Below are 17,858 nucleotides of genomic sequence, written 5' to 3' on the forward strand. Positions count from 1 at the left end.
AGTAACTGGGATCACAGCCACCACGCCTGGCTATTTTTTTTTTAATAGAGATGAGATCTTTCTGTGTTGCCCAGGCTGGTGTCAAACTCCTGGCCTCAAGTGGTCCTCCTGCCTCAGCCCCCCAAAGTGCTGGGATTACAGGGGTGAGCCACGGTGCCCAGCCTGAAAAGCATATAGTTGAACAACCTCTATGTGTCAGCACTGTGGCAGGACCCAGGGAGGTGAGGGTGAATAAGATACATCCCCTCCCCTGCAAGACTCACGGTCTAGCAGGTCATTTTGGCAGCAGATCCACAGGGATGAGATGAGGCCTCCGGGAAGATTAAAACAATCTAGGCAAGAAATGGGGAAAGCCTGAATGAATTAAGGCAGTGCCAACATAGAAGGACATTAAAGGGACAATTCTATGACCTGGTGACTAACTGGACTTGAGTTAGGGACCAAGAGGAGGCTCGCGAGGTGTCAGGGCTTCTTGCACAGCCAGTTGGCTGCACCACAGCCCATTTCCCAGGACAGAGTGCTCAGGAGGTTGGTGGGAAATGATGTGATTGGTTTGGGTCAGCTCAGTTAAGCTGCTGGCCTGTATCCTGGGGGCGACATCTGGGCTGAGATAAGGTTAGGGAGACATCAGCACTGAGGAAGTAGAGGAAGAGAGTTATTTTTGTTTGTTTGTTTTTGAGACAGTCTCACTCTGTCACCCAGGCTGGAGTGCAGTGGCATAAACTCAGCTCACTGTAGCTTCAACCTCCTGGACTCAAGTGATCCTCTTGCCTCAGCCTCCTGAGTAGCCGGAACTATAGGCATGCACCACCACACCCAGAAATACATATATATGTTTGAGAAGTAGTTTCACTCTTGTTGCCCAGGCTGGAGTGCAATGGCACAATTTCAGCTCACTGCAACCTCCGCCTCCCGGATTCAAGCAATTCTCCTGTCTCAGCCTCCCGAGTAGCTGGGATTACAGGCATGTGCCACCACGCCCGGCTAATTTTGTATTTTTAGTAGAGACGGGGTTTCACCATGTTGGTCAGGCTGGTCTCAAACTCCTGACCTTAGGTGATCTGCCTGCCTCAGCCTCCCAAAATGCTGGGATTACAGGCATGAGCCACCACACTTGGCCAGTTTTGTTTTGTTTTGTTTTGTTTTGTTGTTTTTTGGGTTTTTTTAAATTTTTAGTAGAGACGAAGTCTCACTTTGTTGCCAGGTTCATCTCAAACTCCTGGGCTCAAGCGATCCACCCTCCTCGGCCTCCCAAAGCACTGAGATTATAGGCCTGAGCCACTGTGCCGGCCCTGGCCATTTTTTTTTTTAATATGGGTTATTTGGAGAAAGCCCAGACTGTCAGATGGCAGGACCAGGAATACATTTAGGCTGAGAATGGGGTTGTGGAGCTGTGTTGTTGAGGAATGTGTTTTCCATATGATTTGAAAATGAAATCGAGCCTTTCCTCTTCCCCCACCAAAAACGTTTTTGCAAGAGTTGGCCTTCAGCCACCAGGGTCTTCTCCACTAGGATGGAGAGGAGCTTTGTTCTTTCCTTTTTAACCTGTTTGGGTTTAACCGTCCCAGTCTCTCTCTGTTCGGCATTTAACAACTTTTCTTGGTTGAAGTAAGAGGTAAACTAGCTATTCGTCCAAACTCCAAAGCTCAGGTTCACTGGGCCGTAAGCCTGTACCCACCATCCCCGGGCCTGCCAGGGGCGGCTTTGCAGGATTCTTCCAGCCGCGGGGGACGGGGACGGGGACGGGGCGGGGTCCCAGGCCCATGCCATCCACCTGCCAAGCCGCCGGGTCCCGGGAGGCGTTTCCCCTCCCCTCGGCCCGCTGCCTGACCTTCGAGCCGCCTGAGAAATCTCCATCCTGGCGAGTGCCCGAGCCAGGCCGGCCTCCCCGCCCCCTCCCTGGAAAGGAAAGGCCCCGGCGACAACAGAGCCAGACCCGCTCATCCCGATCTCCCAGAAGGCGACTGACAGCTGACTGCCAGAAGGAGATCGCGCCAGGAGACTGACTGCTCTGTGCCCACCCGGGGACCCGGGCCCGTTCAGCCGGGCTGGCTGGTGCGCCCTCTGCAAAGCCTGCGCCAGGGAGGAGGCAGGCTCAACCTTCAGATTCCCAGGGCCTCTCTGTCGCTGTCGCCGTCGCCGTCGCCCGAGGTCCCAGCGGCTCTACCAGATTGTTGTGGAGGCCTCTCACCCGCACAGGTACCCCGGGTGCAGCGCGGGCACCTGAAGCCCCGTCCCCGCTCCCTGCTGCCCAGCCACCCCTTTGTGGTCACGGGCCGGGCCTAAATGGAACATTTGGCACCCCCGTCCCCTCCCCACCGGCTTCTACTAGGGAGCATGGGGTTAAAAGTCGCTATTGCAAAAGTCGTGCCACTGCTCTTGAGCCTTATCTAAGACTGATAGGATGAAGGCCTTTGTAGTCTGAACACTGCCCCCCACCCCCGCTTTTTTTTTTTTTTTTTTTTCCGAGACAAGGTCTCAGTCTGTCGCCCAGGCTGGAGCGCCATGGCCCAATCTCAGCTCACTGCAACCTCCTCCTCCCAGGTTCAAGCGATTCTCCGGCCTCAGCCTTCCTAGTAGCTAGGACCACAGGCTCGAACCACTAAGCCCGGCTAATTTTTTGTATTTTTTGTAGAGACGGGCTTTCACCATGTTGCCCAGGCTGGTCTCAAACTCCTGACCTCAATGTTCCTCCCACCTCAGCCTCCCAAAGTGCTGGAATTACAGGCACGAGCCACCAGCACCGGCCTGAGCCCATTTTTAATAGCCAAAAAACATTTCAAATGCTGCTGCAGATGCAGGCAGTTTGTATTTGGGACCAGTTTGGGCTGAGGTTTTTTTGTTTGTTTTTTTTTTTGTTTTGTTTTGGTTTGGTTTGGTTTGGTTTCTGTTTTTGTTTTGTTTTGTTTTGTTTTTTTGTTTTTTTGGTTTTTTTTTTGAGACGGAGTCTTACTCTGTCGCTCAGGCTAGAATGCAGTGGCGCAATCTCGGCTCACTGCAACCTCTGCCTCCCGGGTTCAAACGATTCTCCTGCTTCAGCCTCATGAGTCGCTGGGATTACAGGCACCCGCCACTGTGCCCAGCCAATTTTTTTGTATTTTTAGTAGAGATGGGGTTTCACCATGTTGGTCAGGCTGGTCTTGAACTCCTGACCTCATGATCCACCCAGCTCGGCCTCCCAAAGTGCTGAGATTACAGGCATGAGCCACCATGCCCGGCCTGTGTTTCTTTTTTAAAATGTAGTTTATTGAAGGAAATATTAGATCAAACATTATTTTTCTTTTTTCCCTCTCTATTCATTTGCCCATCATGTGTAGGACCACTTACTTCAAAGCAGATAGCTACCCTGGGAGAAGGATGAAGATGCAGGCCATTTTTATTTATTTATTTAGAGACAGGTTCTCGCTCTGTTGCCCAGGCTGGAGTGCAGTGGCATGATCACGGCTCATTGCAGCCTCCACCTCCTGAACTCAAATGATCCTCCCACCTCAGGCTCCCGAGTAGCTAGGACCACAGGCATGTGCCACTACACCCGCTAATTTTTTGTTGTTTTGTAGAGTCAGGGTCTCACTATGTTGCCCACACCAGTCCCAGACTCCTGGGCCCAAGCAATCTTCCTGCCTCAGCCTCCTAAAGAGCTGGGATTACAGGCCTGAGCCCCTGTGCCTGACAAATGCAGGCAGTGTGGATCATTCCTGGAAACCGCCTACTCAGGGCAGAGGTACAGAAAGAAAAGATTGCTCTTGAAAGTTGCCTGTCTTTCCTCTCCCACATGGGATTCTTATCTGATTTTTTCTCCTTTTCAGATAATTTTTCTCTGTCTTCTCCCAGTTCGCTGGTCATGGTCTCTGGCCTAAAGTCCCAGCATAGACTGTTCCTCTCCTGTGGAGTCTAACACTCTTTGCCAAACTGGCACGGTGTCTTCCTGGGAAGCAAGAAATCACTGAGGGCCTGTCAGTTCCTGCCAGGGTGGTTCGATGCTGTCCTTTTCTCCACTCCTTCCATGGTCTGCGTTGGAAAATGTGTGTTAGTTCGAATTCAGCGAGTTCTCATTGGGGTGAACATAGTCCTAAAAATGCAGTTCATAAAAATCAACCACACAGAGAAGAAAAATAAATAAATCAGTAAAGCAGCTCAGAAAAATGCAGGTGTGGCGGGCCCTGGCCTCTGCACCCTCATAGAGGGGCTCAACAGCATCAACAGAAGGTGGGGGAGCAGAAGGTGCCCTGCAGACACCCAGAGGGGCCACCAATGAGCAAACTGCCAGCTCCCTGACCCGCCCTGGGGCCCAGGGTATTGACATAAAGGACGGCCTTGCACTATTTCAACAGCCAGTTCTCTGAGGGTCACAAACACCAAGGAGTGGAGGTCAGAGTGTCACTTTTTTGTTTTCTTTTTGAAAGATCATTCGAGAAACACGTCACTGGTAAGTTGGTTGAAGATGTTTCATGGTCCCTGTTATCAGCTCTTTTCTTTTGCCTATGTGTCTCTCCCTGTCACATTGCATATCCTGCTCTGATCTGGGGGAAGTGTATCCAGCCTTGCCAGTTCTTAGCCAGGTGTTTTACTGTATTTGTTCTGTGCGATGACCTTTCACTCACCTCTGTTACCTTCAATAGATCTCCCCTGCGACCATGTCTTCCATTAAGATTGAGTGTGTTTTGCCAGAGAACTGCCGGTGTGGTGAGTCTCCAGTATGGGAGGAAGTGTCCAACTCTCTGCTCTTTGTAGACATTCCTGCAAAAAAGGTTTGCCGGTGGGATTCATTCACCAAGCAAGTACAGCGAGTGACCATGGGTAAGGATGAAGGCTGGACTCAGATCAGCCAGCTACCTTTTCCCAGGGGAGGGGCGGTCACCACGGCACCCTTCTTGTTAAAGCACACTGACTACACTTGTCACGCTGTCTGTCCCCACTCCATATCCTCCCACTTTGACCCAGGGTTTAATTATGGATGGTCAATACTTTCCTCTTCCTCTTTGAATGAGGGGCAACATTCCTAGTTTTTTTTTGGGGGGGGGGGTGTTTTTGTTTATTTTTTGTTTTGTTTTTGTTGAGACAGGGTCTCACCGTGTTGCCCTGGCTGGAGTGCCATGGTGTGATCACGGCTCACTGCAGCCTTGATCTCCTGGGGCTCAAGGGATCCTCCTGCCTCAGCCTCCCTAGTAGCTGTGACTACAGGTGCGTGCCACTATGTCCAGCTAGTTTGTATTTTTTGTAGAGATGGTGTTTCACCATGTTGCCCAGGCTAGTCTCAAACTCCTGGGCTCAAGAGATCCACCCACTTCGACCTCCCAAAGTGTTGGGATTACAAGCGTGAGCTACCACGCCCAGCCCATTCCCAGTTTTGTTTGGATGCTGGGGCACTCTAGTTCCTGTCTTTCCTTAATACCTTCAGATAACCATGGAAAGTTAAAGACCCAGTTATCTGCCTTGGGTCAGGCCAAGACCTTAATTTTCAAACAAAACAAAACAAAACAAAAACAGGTGCCTCTCTTCCTTGAAAGTGAAAACTAGCTTTTGGATGTATAAAGCATCAACCAGGACCGTCTTTGTTTACTGCACAAAATAGAATTCATGATGGAATTTCATGTGCATTTGAGTGTGATGCGTTTATGGCCCTGCGAATTCTAAAGAAGGGATTTATCACTTTCTATGGCCCAAGGGAATAGGCTTAATGTAATTACTGATAGAGAAAGAAGTTTCTTGTTTTCACTGAGCCCATGGGAAAAAATATCAGGAATTCCTATAATCTTGGGACATTCTTTCTCAACCCAGAACTGGGACCTCAACTTTTTTTTTTTTTTTTTTTTTTTTTGAGACAAGGTCTGGCTCTGCCACCCAGGCTGGAGTGCAATAATGCAAACATGGCTTACTACAGCCTCAATCTCCCAGGCTCAAGCGATCCTCCCACCTTAGCTTCCTGAGTAGCTGGAACCACAGGCATGTGCCACCACACCTAGCTAATTTTTATTTATTTTTTGTAGAGACAGGGTCTCCCTATATTGCCCAGGCTGGTCTTGAACTCTTGGGCTCAAGCAATCCTCCTGCCTTGGCCTCCCAAAGTGCTGAGATTACAGGTGTGGGCCACCACGCCCAGCCTTAAACTTCTTTATTTTTAAATGAAAGGGAACAAATTTTTAATTCACCCAGAAGTATGACTGTGGTAAAGTGACTGTGACCTCTGAGGGTAGAATGGGGATGGGGTCCCCTTGCCTTTTCTAGTCTCTTTTGCAGCAGACACACATGCCAACCTGTGATCTGAAAAGCCCGCCCCCACCACCACCCGCCCCCAACCCATGGAAAAAGCTGTGGTGTCAGCAGTAGCTTAGAGAGCTACCAAGAGAAGTCTCAGGCTGCAGGTTGGGATCCCCAATGAGAGTGTGTCCTACACATTCCTTGGGACCCTTGATGGCTCCAATCAAAGTGTGAGCAGGGCTTTGAGCTAAGGGTGGCTCCTGAAGCTCCCATTATCTTACACTGAAGGGGTGCTTAGGAAATGCTTTCAAAATCTATTCTGATAAATTTATTTCCTGTGACCATTCACCACAGCAATCAATCTCTCCACTTAAAAAAATAAAATAAATTTAAAAAAAAAGCTTTCTTGGCCGGGTGCAGTAGCTCATGCCTGTAATCTCAACACTTTTGGGAGGCTGAGGTGGGTGGATCACTTGAGGCCAGGAGTTCAAGACCAGCCTGACCATCATGGTGAAACCGTGTCTCTACTAAAAATACAAAAATTAGCCAGGCATGGTAGCACAGCCTGTAGTCCCAGCTACTAGGGAGGCTGAGGCAGGAGAATCCTTTGAACCTGGGAGGCGGAGGTTGCAGTGAGTCAAGATCACGACACTGCACTCCAGCCTGGGCAACAGAGCAAGACTCCATCTCAAAAAAAAAAAAAGTTTTCTTATACATGGAAAAATATTAAATGAAGAAAACCTAAAATTTAAAAACATAAAATGTAGTAATATAATGAAGAGATGTGATTGTACTATCTCTGCATCTACATTCCTATCTGTTTATTATTTTTTACCATGCTTACTTCCAAAAAAGGATCTGAGAAACAATTTGCAATTAAATACATATAAAATAGGGCCCCTTAGAAAAGACGAATCCTGGGCCTGGCGTGGTGGCTCACGCCTAATATCCCAACACTTTGTGAGGCCAAGGCGGGTGGATCACCTGAGGTCAGGAGTTCGAAATCAGCCTGGCCAACATGGTGAAACCCCATCTCTACTAAAAATACAAATAAAAATTAGCTAGGCGTGGTGCATGCCTGTAATCCCAGCTACTCAGGAGGCTGAGGCAGGAGAATTGCTTGAACCCAGGAGGCAGAGGTTGCAGTGAGTTGAGATTGCACCATTGCACTCCAGCCTGGGAAACAAGAGCAAAACTCTGTCTCAAACAAAACAAACAAAAAAAAAAATGCAAATCCTGGATTGGAGAGGGAGAGAGATGTCACAAAACCTAGTTGCTGTAAATAAACTCGGTTTGTGTCTCTGAATTTTCTGGAGCATTTTCTGGCAAAATGGGGCATCACTCGCTCTGTGATGACTGTCCTGGTGCCCCTAGATTAGAAACTCCTCCTCTGAACTGGATGTGGCACCTGCCCCATATCATGGCCACTGGGCTTTCACTTCTCTGCTTTTCCCACAAGACTGGGAGCTTCCAGAGGAGTTGGGTTTTTTTCACATTTCTATCTATTGCTGCCCAGATCAGCACACAAAATTCATACTCAACAAATGTACTAGGTTACATAGCCTTCCCTACTCAACAGAAGGAAGAGAGCGCTCCCATTGTCACGAGAGCTGGGCTCCCGCTCTAAGAGATGCCAGGTAGCACAGTGATCTCAGTGGCCTCAGCCACTAAACTGGTACTGTTTTTTAACTGTTGCTTTACCTCTACAGATGCCCCAGTCAGCTCCGTGGCTCTTCGCCAGTCGGGAGGCTATGTTGCCACCATTGGAACAAAGTTCTGTGCTTTGAACTGGAAAGAACAATCAGCAGTTGTCTTGGCCACGGTGGATAACGACAAGAAAAACAATCGCTTCAATGATGGGAAGGTGGATCCCGCCGGGAGGTACTTTGCTGGTAAGATTTCTCTTAACACCTACTTATTACTGAGCCTTGGAGGAAATACTTTGACATACAAAGTTCTCACTACTGACCAGGGTGGTGGCTCCCGCCTGTAATCCAGCACTTTGGGAGCCAAGGCGAGTAGGTCGCATGAGCCCAGGAGTTCGATAACTGCCTGGGCAACATAGTGAAACCCTGTCTCTACCAAAAATACAAAAAATTAGCTGGGCCTGGTGGCATGCATCTGTGTTCCCAGCTACTCAGGAGGCTGAGTTGGAAGGATCATCTGAGCCCAGGAGTTTGAGGCTGCAGTGAGCCAAGATCGTGCCACTGCACTCTAACCTGGGTGACAGAGTGAGACCCGGTCTCGAAAAAAGAAAGAAAGAAAGTAAGTAAGTTAGTTAGTTCTCACTACCTCAAAAGTGTTATTTATAATGAATCTTGGGTTCTTCTTTTATTATTGCCTGAGTAAGTTGTAGGACAAAAAAAAAATTCTATGATAAAATCTTCATTTGCATTTCCATCTCTAGCAGAGACTAAAATCTGTATGGTATTTTGGTGGTTTAAATGAGTTTTAAATACAGGGGTTTTGTTGTTGATGTTTAAATCAGAAATATTTTCAAATTTACAGAGAAAAATAAGAATAGTACAGGCCAGGCGTGGTGGCTCACGCCTGTAATCCCAGCACTTTGGGAAGGCCGAGGCGGGCAGATCACGAGGTCAGGAGATTTGAGACCATCCTGGCTAACACGGTGAAACCCCGTCTCTACTAAAAATACAAAAAATTAGCCGGGCGTGGTGGGCGCCTGTAGTCCCAGCTACTCGGGAGGCTGAGGCAGGAGAATGGCATGCACCTGGGAGGTGGAGCTTGCAGTAAGCTGTGGTCGCACCACTGCACTCCAGCCTGGGCAATAGAGCGAGACTCCATCTCAAAAAAAAAAAGAATAGTACAAACAACACTTGTATACCTTTTACCCGGGTTCACCTATTGCTAACATTTTGTTCCATTTGCTTTATCATTTGCTGTCTGTATATATCTAAACATCTTTATCTCCAGAGTCCTTTATTTAAAAAAAAAATAGAGATGAGATCTCACTATGTTGCCCAGGCTGGTCTCAAACTCCTGAGCTCAAGTGATCCTCACACCTCTTCCTCCCAAGTGCTGGGATTACAGGTGTGAGCCACTGCACCTGGCCTATCTCCAGAATCATGTGAGAGTAGGTTGCATGTATATCCTATGTGCCTTTACCCCTAAAATGCTGCAGTGTGAATTTCCCAAGAAAGACGACATATTCTTACATGACCACAGTTACAGTGATCAACTTAGAGAAGTTTAGCATTGACACAGTCATTTTATCTGATATACTATCTAAATCCCAGTTTTGTCAATTGTACAAAAAGTGTTCTTTCTCACATTTTTCCCTCCAGCACAGGATGCAGTCTAGGCTCATGGATTGCATTTCCTTTTCATATCTCTTTGATCTTTTTTAAAACTGGAACATTTTCATAGCTTTTTTTGTTTGTTTTTTATAACATTGCCATTTTTGAAGAATACAGCCAGGCCTACCCAACTCCCCCTTTTTTAATAGGGCATTCCTTATTTAGTATTTGTCTAGTGTTTGTTTGTGATTAAGTTGATGTTATACATTCCTGACTGGAATACCGCATAGATAATGTTCTGTTCTCAGGGTAACCCATCTGGAGGTACACGATGTCCGTGTGTCCCCTCGTTAGTGATTTTGATCACCAGGTTAAGGCCCTGTCAGATTTCTCTACTGAATAACTATTTTTAATGCAATTTATAAGCAATTTGTGGGGGTTGTTAGTTATCTATTGCTGGATAACAAATTACCCTGAAACTTAGAGGCTTAAAATAAGAAATATTTATTATCTCAGATGGTTTCTGAAGGTCAAGAATCTGGGTGCAGCTTAGCTGGATGGATCCAGTTCAGGCTATCTCATAAGACTGTAGTCAAGCTTTCCACAGGGGCTGCAGCCTCGGAAAAGGCTGGATTCTCTGCAGAGGTCTGAAAGATCCACTTCCAAGCTCATTCACATAGGGGTTGGCAGGAGGCTTCAGTTCCTTAGCTGGTGGGTCTCTCCACAGGGCTGCTCAGGACATGGCTGCCCCTAGAACCAGTGATAACAGGAGAGAGAGAGAGAGAGAGAGAGAGAGAGAGAGAGAGAGAGAGAGAGAGAAAGAGAGAGAGAACGCATGCACCCAAGATCCAAGATGCAAGCTACAGTCTTTAACCAATCGGAAGTGACATACCATCACTTATGCCATATGCTATTGGTCACACAGACAATGACAGAGGGAACTATCCAAGGGTGAGAATGCTGAAAGGTGGGAATCATTAGGGGCTATCTTGGAGGCTGGCTACAACATGGGGAGATACTCTAAGTCCACACAAATATCCTGGTCCTCATCAAAATTTCTTCCTTAAGTTTTACATTCATTGATGATTCTTTCTTGAACCAAAGTTTACTATGATGGTTGCAGAATGACTTACATGCAGGTTTAAAAGAATTTTATCTACAGTTTTAAATTAGATACTGCACTTCACATATATTTCTCATCATAATAACCTTCTGAGTTAGCCGAAGTTGATTCTCCATCTCTACTATTCCCACCTTCCCACACTGCCGCCTCACATTGTTGGCCCTGCTGTCCTGGCCCTGTGCAACTTCAATATGGAAGGCAGGAGAGGTCAGAGCAGCTGACTGTAGACTGCTTCCCATCTTCCTGGACTTTATACAACCACAGATATGGTCCGGGACAGGTTGAAAGATTAAAGATGAGAATCTGTTGGAAGCCCTTCTGCAGTAATTTCTGCAAGATAAAGATATGTGATTGGATATTTCACCTCCTGGTGAAATTGATTTTCTCTCCTTCTTTTAAGTAGAAGTTGACAGTTCTGTGCTCGCTTCAGCAGCACATCTACTAAAGTTGGAACGATAGAGAGAAGATTAGCATGGCCTCTGCACAAGGATGACATGCAAATGCATGAAGAGCTCCATATTTTTCTTACAAAGTTTACAGTTCTGAGGCACTCTGTGAGACAAAAATAAAGATGGCCTCCAAGGCCTCCATTCTAAGCATGGAGTCTCTGGGCCATCAGGAGACCTCTTAAAATTGCAGGTGTCATTGTAGGTGTAACTATTAGGTATTACTATAGTATTCTATAGTACTAATACCAATACTATAATATTATACTTATAATAATATATAGTTTTACTTTATGTATTATCATATATAATTTTAAATTATATATTATAATATAGTATTATAATTATATAAGCATATATAATATAATCATATTATATATAAATATAATTATATATTATATAATATATAATACAACTATATATATTATATTAATATATAATATTATATTATATATAATTATAATATAATACTGTAGTATTCTGGCAGATGCATAACACTAGTACACTAGTATATACCTGTTAGGTATATACTAGTGCTATGCATCTGCCAGAAGCACCTGAGACTCTTTCTCAAGAGAGGTCATAGCTCTTGGCAGGTGCTCGGAGGTGCCCCAGGCCCAGAAAAAGGTGGGGTTATCTTATAGTCTAGATGGATTCTCAAGGTGATCGCACCCTGAATATATCACCACACCCAAGATCTGACCTGTCTATGCTTGTTACTAGATAATGAAGCCAGGGCTCTAGATTATTCTATCCACCAAGGAAGAGGCTTTCCAAGCAGCAGGAGATTCACATGCATGTTCCAGGCCTCTTTTTCTGTGAGGCAGATAATGTGCAGGGAGAGTCATGAAATAAACCCAACTGCCCTAGAGCAGGAAACTGCCGAGGGAACATCCTTCTCCCCAGGGAGGGAGGATCGACCCTGTCTTGCTTGCTATTCAGGCTTCCCATCTACATTGTCTCTGGCATCTGTGCCATCTCATTTTCGGCATCTGTTGATTCTCTTCTCCTATGTGAGTTGAGATTTCCATGTTTCTTTGTGTTGCCAAGTAATCTGGGGTTGTGTTCTAGACATTTTGAATATTATGAGGCCCTGAGTCTTGTTGAAATCCTTTGGCCGGGCGCGGTGGCTCAAGCCTATAATCCCAGCACTTTGGGAGGCCGAGGCAAGTAGATCACTTGAGCTCGGGAGTCTGAGACCAGCCTGGGCAACACAGTGAAACCCCGTCTCTACAAAAAAAATAAAACAAATGAGCCAGGCATGGTGGCTTACTCCCATAGTCCCAGCTGCTCAGAGGCGGAGGTGGGAGGAATGCTTCAGTCCGGGAGGTTGAGGCTGCAATGAGCTGTGATCACGCCACTGCACTCCAGCCTGGGCAACAGAGCAACACTCTGCCAAAAAAAAAAAAAAAAGAAGAAGAAGAAGAAGAAGATAGAAGAAGAAGGAGACGGAGAAGGAGAAGGAGGAGGCTTGGCATGGCAGCTCATGCCTGTGACCCCAGCACTTTGGAGGCCAAGGCAGGTGGATTGCTTGAGCTGCTTGAGCTACTCGGGAGGCTGAGGTAGGAGAATCACCTGAGCCTGGGGGAGGTGGAGGCTGCATGAGCCGAGACTGCATTACTGCACTCCAGCCTGGGCAACCAGGCTTTTCAGAGTTCCAAGATGGCTGTGCCATGTATTTTATCCAGGTTTTATAGCTGTGCTCAGTGGGAGAAAATGAGGTTCGTGCATGTTTACTCCTTCTTATCTTGAACCAGAACTTCTAGGCACAGTTTTAATTTGCATTATATGCAAGATAATTGTCATTTTATATATATATAAGTATATATAATATAAAATTATATTATATAATTATAATATAATATAATATATAATCATATAATATAATTTATATAATATTATATTATATAAATATAATATAAAATTATATATACATATATTATATATACTTATATATACATATTATATATACTTATATATACATATTATATATACTCATATATATACATATTATATACACTTATATATACATATTATATATACTTTATATATATATATATATATACACACACACACACACACACACACACACACACACATATATATATATGGCCCAGATTGGAATTGTATAGTGATTTCCTTTGATTTAATCACTGGAAAGGATCCCTGGTGAGAAAGGATGGTGTCGTGCATGGGGTAAGATGCTATGGGGCAGAGCTCAGTGCTCTTTGGTTTTTGTAGGCACCATGGCTGAGGAAACAGCTCCAGCAGTTCTTGAGCGGCACCAGGGGGCCCTGTACTCCCTCTTTCCTGATCACCACGTGAAAAAGTACTTTGACCAGGTGGACATTTCCAATGGTTTGGATTGGTCGCTAGACCACAAAATCTTCTATTACATTGACAGCCTGTCCTACTCCGTGGATGCCTTTGACTATGACCTGCAGACAGGACAGATCTGTATGTATTTTTCATTATTTGTCTCAGTGCTGCCACTATTGTTTTCATATGTTTGTGACTAGTAAGGCGCCTCTCCCTCGCCTCATGTGAAGAAGTCTTCACTTAAATGGAGAGCTTTCTGATGCTACTATTCTAATATAGTAACGACAGCACAGACTTGACTGTGCTGCCAATCAAATCATGGTCCTCAACATATTTAAATATGGCAAGAGTTTGGCATAATATGGATAGATCTGGGGAAGCTAATAAAAAATAATTAATACAAATATGGGTAGATTCTCAATCCTTTTCCTTGCCATCATCACCAGAAAGAGGTTCACTGCAAAAGAGATCCTATTCTACCAGGAGGTGCCTAAAGGCAGATAATACTTAATGGAGTATTGGCGCAAAAGAGCAGAAAACTTGAGGTTTTTGATTGCTATTTCTTGTTTGTACTTTAGTTAACCATAGGCAAGTACTCAGAAGCTAATTACCAACCTTTCAAAATGGAAAAGCAAAAAAAAAAAGTAATTGCACGTTGTCCAACTCCATCAATACGCTTGAAAGGAGCCATAGTTGGAAACTGGGAGGGAAGGAATTATTTAGAATCTAGAAGGGAGTCCTTGAAACTGTTTCATGAAAGGTGCCAAACCTTTTATGAAACAAAAGAGCAACATTAATAATAAAAATGACTTGGAAAAAATATCCCCAGAACTCTGCATGCAGATTTAATCAGAGGCAAACTATTCTGGTGCAGATGTTTTGCTTTGAAATATGTAGTGCTCGGGAGGCTGAAGCAGGAGAATCGCTTGAACCCGGGAGGCAGGGGTTGCAGTGAGCCGAGATCGCGCCACTGTACTCCTGCCTGACGACAGAGCGAGACACTGTCAAAAAAAAAAGAAAGAAAGAAAGAAAAGAAGAAGAAAGAAAGAAAGAAAGAAGAAGGAAAGAAAGAAAGAAAGAAAGAAAGAAAGAAAGAAAGAAAGAAAGAAAGAAAGAAAGAAAGAAAGAAAGATGTAGTGCTCTTTTTTATGACAGTTTTTACCCATTGTCATTGTATGTGGTTTTAACATTTTTCCATTATACCTCAATCTAATGACTGTAGTGACCTGGACTTTGTAGTATAAAGTTTTGGATTTTGATATTTGTTTTTTGTATACCACGGTTACCCCCCTTTAAGGGCACCTAGTTTGTTTCTGAGTGCCCCTCCTGCAAGAAACAGGCTCTTCTAATATTTAGTCTTGAATTTGGAGCACTCAGTCAGGCAGAAAAAGAATTCATGTATCTTGCTAGTTTTTGTGCATGAACTGTTCACGTGGTACCATTAAGTTGCCTTGCGGATCTCAAGAGTTTTGTAACTGAAACAGCAAAGGTCTAACCACAAGCTGACATGTACTTGACATAGACATGCAGGGCCCCAGTTCAGGTCAGCTTCAAAAAGAAGTATTATTGGTATTTTAGTAAGAATTCTGCTTTCTTTTTTCTCTCTCCATCTGAATGCTTAAACAGATATGCCTGTACCCAAACAAAAGACAATGAATCCATCCCAATCATGTGGTAAAAATCCTTTGTTCACATGCCAGACACTGGATAAGCTGAAGTGATCTGTATTTATAACCAGCTTGAGAGCTCTCGGTTTGATTCTCAGTATTTAGTGGCCTGTTGTTTTGTTGTGGTTCTGTTTTTGTTTTTGCCTTTTAACCATAGCCAACCGCAGAAGTGTTTACAAGCTAGAAAAGGAAGAACAAATCCCAGATGGAATGTGTATTGATGCTGAGGGGAAGCTCTGGGTGGCCTGTTACAATGGAGGAAGAGTGATTCGTTTAGATCCTGTGACAGGTAGGCCTGCAGCAAAATGAAAAATCCTTGTCATGGCTAGGCAGAGATATAGCCCGAAAGTTACAGTCAGAATTTCTTTTCCTGTAGAGGTGCGACTTTTTGCTCAAAATAAATTGTCAGGGAAAGTAGATTAAATATTAAATGCACAGATGAATCCTGACCTCCACAGTCTTCTTAGATCTTCCCTAGAAACAATACACAGGTTGGAAATTGCTACAACTAAACTTAAAATAAAATATTTGGTGGTCTAGGGAAAAGACTTCAAACTGTGAAGTTGCCTGTTGATAAAACAACTTCATGCTGCTTTGGAGGGAAGAATTACTCTGAAATGTATGTGACCTGCGCCCGGGATGGGATGGACCCCGAGGGTCTTTTGAGGCAACCTGAAGCTGGTGGAATTTTCAAGGTGATATGGCTATTTCTTTTATTTTGGGGGTGGGGGATCCCAAATACTTACAGGGGTAAGTAACTGAGTGATTGGTACTTTTGCATACTTCCAAAGCATAATCCTATTTAGCATGTTAAGCTCATCATACTAGACTGAAAAACATTTTATTTCAATTTTCTAGAGAGTAAGTTATCTGAAGTCCAAGATGATCTGTTTAGCCTACTTTGTACATTAATTTTTTTACTTCCTGTTTATTGAAATTCTTCAGATCAGTAGAATGAACTTGGAAAGCCAGTATTTACAACATGCCTAGAAGATCAGTTGATTGTTTTGATGTCTTAAGGATTTTTCAGATTTTAAACATCTTTTGGCAGCAGAATAAACACTGATAAAAATCGTAGAGCTTTTGAGCTGAAAAGAAATACATAATGTAGAAACCCCTTTCTTAGCAGGCGGCAGATGATAGGAGTAATCCAGTTTTAAATCTAAGTTAGTCGTAAATGATTGCTAGTTGAATTATTAACTATATGAATAATTGGGTTGGACCATAAATATCCAGTCAGGTAATTCCTTTTTATGATAGGAGATAAAACAAAGATAATAGGTGGCTAAGTATATTACTACAAATCATAAAAATGCTTTTGAAGAATACTTGTGAATTACCTTTCACCTGAGATTCCCTCTTTTCTTTTTCAACAGATAACTGGTCTGGGGGTCAAAGGAATTGCTCCCTACTCCTATGCGGGATGAGGACAGGTCTTCTTTCCTGCCAGAGGGAGCTCTGAAGACAACTAGAGAATTCTGGGCCTGAAATTTCAATCTAGTTAGAAAGAAAAATGAGGCAATGATTTTATTAACAGCGTTAAGTTTTAATTTACAACTTTTAAAAGGCAGAGCATTTTTAACAAGGGGTGACAGGTGGTTTTGATAACACACTTATAAGGCTTTCTGTAAAAGGTACTATAGAAGGGCGAAGAATCGTTCAACTGTCAATCAGCCTCTTGATTCTTTGTAAATTGCCAGGGTGGGTGGGTACATATCTCTTCTTGATTCTGCATTTCATACTTAACTATATTAAAGCTTCAAGGAACAATAAATAGTAACCTGGTAATGACCTATTATGTTCCTTTTTATTTTCATCACAATCTTATAAAATATACCACAATGCTAACTAACCTACATAGATATTTCATCTCCTATATGTTATTTTACAAACTAAAATACGGCTGGAGGGTTAGACTCAAACATGCTGTCAAAATCCATGGTTCCAGCTGCCACCTACTGGATGTAAAAGTAATATGTCTCTTTGGAAAGAATACTTATTTTAAAAATAGCTTTATTGAGTTATAATTGGCCTGTACATATTTAAAGTGTATAATTTGACAAATTTGTCACATATATACATTCATGAAACCAACACCACAAACAAGATAATGAATCTATCCACTACCCCAAAACTTTTCTTGTCCTGTCATAATCCTTTTCTTCAGCCCCTCTGCCTGCCTGTCCCCTGCTCCCAGGAAACCACTGATCTGCTTTCTGTCACTATAAATTAGTCTTAAAATTAGGTAGTGTGATTTCTGTAACTTTGCTCTTTTTCAAAATTGTTTTGGCTATTTTAATTCCTTTGACCTTCCATATAAATTTTCAAATCAGCTTGACGATATCTACAAAAGAAATCAAGCTACAATTTTTTAATTGGAATTGCTTTTTTTTTTTTAGACAGGATCTACTCTGTCACCCAGGTCGGAGTGCAGGGGCACGATCATGGTTCATTGCTGCCTCTACCTCCCAGGCTGAAGCAACCCTCCCACGTCAGTCTCCCGAGTAGCTGGGCTGAGACTGCAGGTGCGTGCCACTATGGTCATTTTTTCGTTTGTTTGGTTGGTTGGTTTTTTGGATTTTTTGCTTTTCAGAGACGAAGTCTTGTTATGCTGCCCAGGCTGGCCTCAAACTCCTGGTGATCCTCCCGCCTTGACTTCCCAAAGCTCTGGGATTACAGGAATGAGCCACCGCGCCAGGCCTGAAATTGCTTTAAATCTGTAAAACGATTTGGAGATAATTGACTTCTTTACTATTCTGAGTCTTATCCATGAACAGGGCATGTCTCTCCCGTTATTTAGGCCTTCTTCAATTTTTGTCATCAGTGTTTTGTAGGTTTCAGCATACAG

At 43.9% G+C, this 17,858-nt stretch overlaps 1 protein-coding gene and 1 pseudogene across 7 annotated transcripts; both read left to right on the plus strand.

Annotated features, from left to right (window-relative positions):
* Positions 1-1,932: 1,932 nt before the first annotated feature.
* On the plus strand, positions 1,933-16,803 carry RGN (regucalcin). 7 transcript variants are annotated; one of them, NM_152869.4, is made up of 8 exons: positions 1,933-2,199; positions 3,807-4,426; positions 4,620-4,797; positions 7,908-8,090; positions 13,266-13,481; positions 15,168-15,299; positions 15,551-15,705; positions 16,387-16,803. In NM_152869.4, exons 3-8 carry the CDS (start codon positions 4,635-4,637, stop codon positions 16,435-16,437), a joined length of 900 nt encoding a protein of 299 aa, NP_690608.1. In that variant the 5' UTR covers positions 1,933-2,199; positions 3,807-4,426; positions 4,620-4,634; the 3' UTR covers positions 16,438-16,803. The 7 variants fall into 7 exon arrangements, with proteins under 7 accessions (NP_690608.1, NP_001269777.1, NP_001269778.1 ...); NM_001282848.2 differs by having other exon boundaries at positions 4,669-4,797; NM_001282849.2 differs by lacking the exon at positions 13,266-13,481.
* RNU6-1189P (RNA, U6 small nuclear 1189, pseudogene) lies at positions 10,996-11,102 on the plus strand (annotated as a pseudogene).
* Positions 16,804-17,858: the final 1,055 nt, after the last annotated feature.

Source organism: Homo sapiens, chromosome X (assembly GCF_000001405.40).
Source record: "Homo sapiens chromosome X, GRCh38.p14 Primary Assembly".
NCBI classification, from domain to species: domain Eukaryota; kingdom Metazoa; phylum Chordata; class Mammalia; order Primates; family Hominidae; genus Homo; species Homo sapiens.

What these genes read in the sequence shown, in the direction of transcription:
- RGN (NM_152869.4), top strand. Translation starts at nt 4,635, where the DNA reads ATGTCTTCCATTAAGATTGAGTGTGTTTTGCCAGAGAACTGCCGGTGT. An exon ending in TCGTTTAGATCCTGTGACAG is followed by an intron (nt 15,300 to 15,550) that starts GTAGGCCTGCAG and finishes TTGGTGGTCTAG; the next exon opens with GGAAAAGACTTCAAACTGTG. An exon ending in AAGCTGGTGGAATTTTCAAG is followed by an intron (nt 15,706 to 16,386) that starts GTGATATGGCTA and finishes CTTTTTCAACAG; the next exon opens with ATAACTGGTCTGGGGGTCAA.